Genomic DNA, 6,304 nt, shown 5'->3' with positions numbered 1-6,304 from the left:
CTGCAATATTGGACCTGCTATGTGTTTATTGAGGATCTTTGCCTCTGTGTGGGTGAACTTGGCTCAGTTGTTCCCCTCCCCGCACCTAGGTTATCCTCAGCTGTTCTTTTTGTTTTGTTTTGTTTTTTTGTTTTTTGTTTTTTTAATCAAAGAAAGCTAGCCTGGGAAAGTGAGTTGAACATCATAAGATGGTGGTTATTTTTGTGTTTACATAAGATGGTCAGCTTTTCACTGCTTATTTGGTAGAACTGGTCCCAAAATGCCTGGTCCCAAAACATTTGAGGGTGGCTGGAGCTTTGATCAGTTTCATTTTGCGTTTCGCAATTACAGATTTTTATTTCTATTTGGATTAATTGGGCCATTCATATTTTCCTAAATAATGGTCTGTTTTCATTTGGGGTTTCAAATTTAATGATTATATATATTCTTTTTATTGTAGAAATTCTCAAATATATTCTACTGTAGAGAGAATATACCTGGAACTCAGAATCATCAACACATGGCCAACCTGGCTTCGTCTATACTCACACATAACACCATGTCTGCCAGTGGAATAATGTGAAACAAATCCTAGGCATCACATCATTTCATCTTTAAATATTTCAGTATGTGTTTTTAAAGACAGAAATATTAACTGATAACACTACCCCACCTTATAAAATTAACTCCTTCATGTAATTAACTGTTCAGTTATTTTCACATTTACCCACTGACATCATTTAAGTGTGTTTTTTCTTGAACCCGGGTCCAAATAAATCTAATCATTATCACTGCATTTTATGACCATTAATTTATACATTCTTCCCCCCAACACACATACATTACTTCTTTATCCCTGCAATCTTTGTTTTTACAAAAAAACAGATCTTATGCTCTGTTCAGTTTCACATGGTCTGGCTTTTGCTTTGTGCAACATTAATGTCATTCTTCTCTGTATTTCTTTCAATTGGTAGAGGTTTTATCATATTAAAATTTAATTTTTATTCTCTCTCGTTTTATTTGGAAAGATCACTTTACAGGTGATGTGAACTTTCATTACGAGGAAGTAACTTCCATTATGAGGGGGACCGAATATTTGTCTCCCTTTTTGTTGATGTTGGCAGTCTTTGAAGATTAGTATATTTATCCATTAATTAATTAGGGTTTGCAAAATGTTAATTTTTCTAATTCTACCATTCCTTCTGATTTCATTAGATGAAATATATCTTTCTGTAGAAATCATCCCTTGTCTATCATTTGTTAATGATATTTACAGTGTTCTCTTATGGTATTCAAGTTCCTTCTGCACCTATTTTTGTACAGTATTTTAAAGCTACTATCAGTTTTCTTTTGTAATTGAAGATGACTATAAAATTGTCTCCTATATAAATCTTTTAAAAGAATAGGCTTTTGTTAGTTGGCTCCACTGTCTTAATTAATCATTTCTGCATTTATCTTAGTTATTTCCTATGCTTTATTTCTTTGGGTTAAATATGGTTTTATTTCTCTAGCTTCTTGAAGTTTTGCATGTTTAAAATATTTCTGTTTTTTTCTAATCAGTTTATTTAAGGCTGTAAATATTCCTTTGTGTACCACCTGATTTGTTTCCCACAGGTAATGCTATAGAGTTTTATGTGCAGTGCTTGATTATTTTACAAGCTGAATATATCTCTGTATTCCTTATGCTCTTAGAATTTTTTGAATATGTGTGCGCAAATGCTAGTGAGTGCAAAAATTATTTTGGGGAAGGATGTGAAGAAGAGAGACATAGTTATTTAGAGGAGGTTTCAGTCTCCCAGGGGTGTTTTGTTTTGGTTACATATAATATAAAAGACTTGAACACATTTTACTGCTAGTGACTCAGTTGAGGCTTTCCTGTGAATGAAATGGTCTCACATTAGAACAATCAATATAATTAGCCAAGTATAACTGTTAAAGATTATCCAGGAAAACAGAAATTACTTTAAATACATAAGTCAGGTTGAATATGATGCACAAAATTGGTTACTCAAGTGATGGAGAAGCCAAACGGGAGAGGCGGGCAAGCCAATATTTGGCAGCTTAAGAAATTTTCTTCAGTCTCTAGGATAGAAACAAATAAAGGAGATAATGTTAATGGAGCCTTGGAGTTGGGGTCAATAGGATCTGGAACTAAGGTGGATAAGTATGATGAGGGTGAGAGCCATGGAGAAGATGTAAACCTTGAAAGCAGTTGAAGGCACCTGATGCAGAGAGAGAAAATAAAATATAAACTCTAGCTGCTTCTGTCCTCCTGTACTGTACTAACCTGCTGGTGCCTTCTGTTGCTTGAACCATGATGGCAGCCAAATGTTGGAGAACATAGGAAGTGCAGCCTACAATCATCTCCTGAACACTGGAGAACAGAGCAAGGAAAGAGAGAGAAAGGGATCTGAGGCCAATCAGGTCAAGGACTGGCATATTGCCTTGACATATTGTGAGAAAAATCATATCTAAATTGATACAGAAAAGTATTTTGTAAAAATCAGCATTAATTCATGATAAAAAGAGATGTTATCAAAGTAGATAAAGGATATCTACCAAAATCTATAGCAAATATTCTACTCAGTAGAAAAACATTGGCTATTGGAAAATAGATAAGAATAGCTGCTATCACTATTTTTATTCCACATTATAATAGGGGTTCCTGCCAATGCAGTAATGGGAAACAGATGAAATAAAAGGATTGGAAAATAAGATGATTTAGATGTCAGTTCTCAAATTATCTTTAATCAAAATCCCAGAAGGATTTTTGTAGAAGTGAATACACTGACTGTAAAATTAATATGGACATGTGATCGACCAAGAATAGCCAAAACGACTTTGCAAAACAAGAACAAAATAAGAGGACTAATACTACCCAATCTCAAGACTTATTATAAAATTCAAGTAATCATGACAGTGTGGCATTTTTGTAAAGACAGGCAAATAGATCAGCGAAACAGAATAGAAATACCAACAATAGACTTCAGCATATAGAAGCAGCTGATTGTCAGCCATGGTGCAAAGGCAATTCAGTGAAGAAGGGATAATCCTTTCAACATAGGATGATGGAACAGTTGGAAATACACACACACACAACACAACACAAAACAAAGCAAACAAAACAAAAACTTTCAGTCCACTCCTTTCACCATATAGAAAATTAGCTAAAAATGGACCACCAACTTAAATGTAAAATCCAGAGCTATAAAACTACTAGGAAGGAAACATAAGATAAAACCTTTGTGATCTTTGGCTGGGCAAACATTTCTTAGGCACAACTCCAAAAATACAATCCATAAAATAACAAATTGATTAATTTGCCTTTACCAAAATTGAAAACATATTTTCTTCAAAAGGCACTGCTAAGAGAATGAAAAGACAATCTATAGAATGGGATAAAATTTTTGTAAAGCATATATGTGAGAAAGGAGTTGTAATCCAGCACTTAAAATAATTCTCAAAACTCAATAAGAAAATAAACAACCCGATATAAATGGGCAAAAGGCTTGAACAGACAGTTCAAGAAAGGACAGTTATAAATGTCAAAGAAGCACATAAAATGCTCAACATCATTAGGCATTAGGGAAATAAAAATTAAAACCCCAGTAAGATACTATTACACACCTATTAGAATATGTACAATTAAAATGACTGACTGTACTAAGTATTGCCAAAGATGTGAAGGAACTCTCACACCTTGCTGGTGGGAATGTAGATTGGACATCCACTTTGGAAAACAGTTTGGCAGTTACTCAAGAATTTAGACATACACATGCAATATGACCTAATTGTTATACTCCCAGGAAATAAGGGCATATGTCTGTGAAAAGATGTGTATACAAAAGTTCATGGCAGCTTTATTTGTAATAGTGAAAAACTGGGAATAACCCAGATGTCCATCAATAGGTCACTAGATAAACTGTATTATATACAATAAAATATTATTCAGCAATAAATTGAATGAACTATTGATACACGCTATAACATGGATATATTTCTCAATAATTATTCTGTTAGCCAGATAAAATAGTACATACTATGTTATTCCGTTTTTATAAACGGAAGATGAAAACTAATGCATAGTGACAGAAAGATGATTGCCTGTGGACAGAGAGGAGTGCAAAAGAGCTTACAAAGGAACATGAAAAAAGTTTTGGGGGTGATGGTGATTGACATATTCATTGTCTTGAATGTGATGGTGGTTAAATGGATGCATAGATAAGTCAAAACTTATCAAATTGTATGCGCTTTATTGTATTCCAATTGCATCTTTGAAAAGCCATTACAAATTCTGGAACAAGCAAATCTAATGTACAGTTGAAATCAAAACTGTAGAAGAGGGGTCATGTGGAGGTGTTCTATTGTGATTAGCTTGGAAAGACGTGATTGATCTTTATGATGCACTAACATTTTACTCTATATTTTGATTGGGGATGGTTTACACACATGTATGCATACGTACATTTAGGTTCTGGCATATGTCCTATTAATACTATTTCATAATAATAATAATACACATATTGTATCAGAATAGAATCACAAGGATCTTTGAGGAAAACAAATATCCAATAAGCTGTATATGCGTTATGCTTAATTAGGCACTTTATTTAATTTGTTAATAAGCACAGGTCAAATATTACTTATTTTTAGCTTTTTTTTCTTTTTATTATTATTATACTTTAAGTTTTAGGGTACATGTGCACAATGTGCAGGTTTGTTACATATGTATACATGTGCCATGTTGGTGTACTGCACCCATTAACTTGTCATTTAACATTAGGTATATCTCCTAATGCTATCCCTCCCCCATCCCCCCACCCCACAACAGTCCCCGGAGTGTGATGTTCCCCTTCCTGTGTCCATGTGTTCTCATTGTTCAATTCCCACCTATGAGTGAGAACGTGCGGTGTTTGGTTTTTTGTCCTTGTGATAGTTTGCTGAGAATGATGATTTCCAGTTTCATCCATGTCCCTACAAAGGACATGAACTCATCATTTTTTATGGCTGCATAGTATTCCATGGTGTGTATGTGCCACATTTTCTTAATCCAGTCTATCGCTGTTGGACATTTGGGTTGGTTCCAAGTCTTTGCTATTGTGAATAGTGCCACAATAAACATATGTGTGCATGTGTCTTTATAGCAGCATGATTTATAGTCCTTGGGATATATACCCAGTAATGGGATGGCTGGGTCAAATGGTATTTCTAGTTCTAGATCCCTGAGGAATCGCCACACTGACTCAGACTGCTGTGCTAGCAATCAGCGAGACTCCGTGGGCATAGGACCCTCTGAGCCATGTGCCCGTTGGAAAAGCGCAGTATTAGGGTGGGAGTGACCCGATTTTCCAGGTGCCCTCTGTCACCCCTTTCTTTGACTAGCAAAGGGAACTCCCTGACCCCTTGCGCTTCCCGAGTGAGGCAATGCCTCGCCCTGCTTCTGCTCGTGCATGGTGCGCTGCACCCACTGTCCTGCGCCCACTGTCTGACACTCCCTAGTGAGATGAACCCGGTACCTCAGATGGAAATGCAGAAATCACCCGTCTTCTGCGTCGCTCACGCTGGGAGCTGTAGACCGGAGCTGTTCCTATTCGGCCATCTTGGCTCCACCCCTCTTATTTTTAGCTTTGTAGATGCCCAAAATTTGAGTAATTTCATTAGATTTTCAATTTCATATAACCGTGATAGTATTGTATATTACTCAACTGATTTTTGAAATCTCAGACATTTTAAGACTCACTTTATTGCTTAGTCTATAATTGATTCCTAATATTTTTGGTCATAATTAACCAAATTCCAAATTTCACAATAACAAAAATAACAGGGTGAAGGTGCTTTGTAATTAATGCTAAATAAGTTCTAGGTGAGTAACTTTTTGAAGCCAGAACTATTATAAGACAATCATATAGGTGGCGTAACCATGTAATGTTACTAATAAACATCCATTAATACCATAATGGGGCCAGGAGCGGTGGCTCACGCCTGTAATCCCAGCACTTTGGGAGGCTGAGGCAGGTGGATCATGAGGTCAGGAGTTCAAGACTAGCCTGGCCAAGATAGTGAAACCCTGTCTCTACTGAAAATACAAAAATTAGCGGGGCGTGGTGGCGGGTGGGTAGGAAAATCATAGCTCACTGGAATCTTCAACTGCTGGGTTCAAGTGATCATCCTGCCTCAGCCTCCTGAGTAGCTAGGATGACAGGTGAGTGCCACCACACCCAGCTAATTTTTTTTAAAAAAAGTTTTTGTAGCGATGAGGTGTTGCTATGTTGCCCAGGCTTTTCTGGAATGCCTGGTCTCAAGGGATTCTCCTGCCTCAGCCTCC

At 36.3% G+C, this 6,304-nt stretch overlaps 2 annotated features.

Moving 5' to 3' along the window:
- Window positions 4,905-5,416: an enhancer, noted in NCBI's record as "H3K27ac-H3K4me1 hESC enhancer chrX:27819334-27819845 (GRCh37/hg19 assembly coordinates)". NCBI's record gives its function as "activates a minimal SCP1, AML or CMV promoter by ChIP-STARR-seq in naive H9 embryonic stem cells {active_cell/tissue: H9 hESC(naive)}" and the evidence as "EXISTENCE:reporter gene assay evidence [ECO:0000049][PMID:30033119]".
- Window positions 5,417-5,929: an enhancer, noted in NCBI's record as "H3K27ac-H3K4me1 hESC enhancer chrX:27818821-27819333 (GRCh37/hg19 assembly coordinates)". NCBI's record gives its function as "activates a minimal SCP1, AML or CMV promoter by ChIP-STARR-seq in naive H9 embryonic stem cells {active_cell/tissue: H9 hESC(naive)}" and the evidence as "EXISTENCE:reporter gene assay evidence [ECO:0000049][PMID:30033119]".

Source organism: Homo sapiens, chromosome X (genome assembly GCF_000001405.40).
Source record: "Homo sapiens chromosome X, GRCh38.p14 Primary Assembly".
NCBI classification, from domain to species: Eukaryota; Metazoa; Chordata; class Mammalia; order Primates; family Hominidae; genus Homo; species Homo sapiens.
Note: the sequence above shows the minus strand (reverse complement) of the source record. Positions and strands in the feature narration are given on the sequence as shown.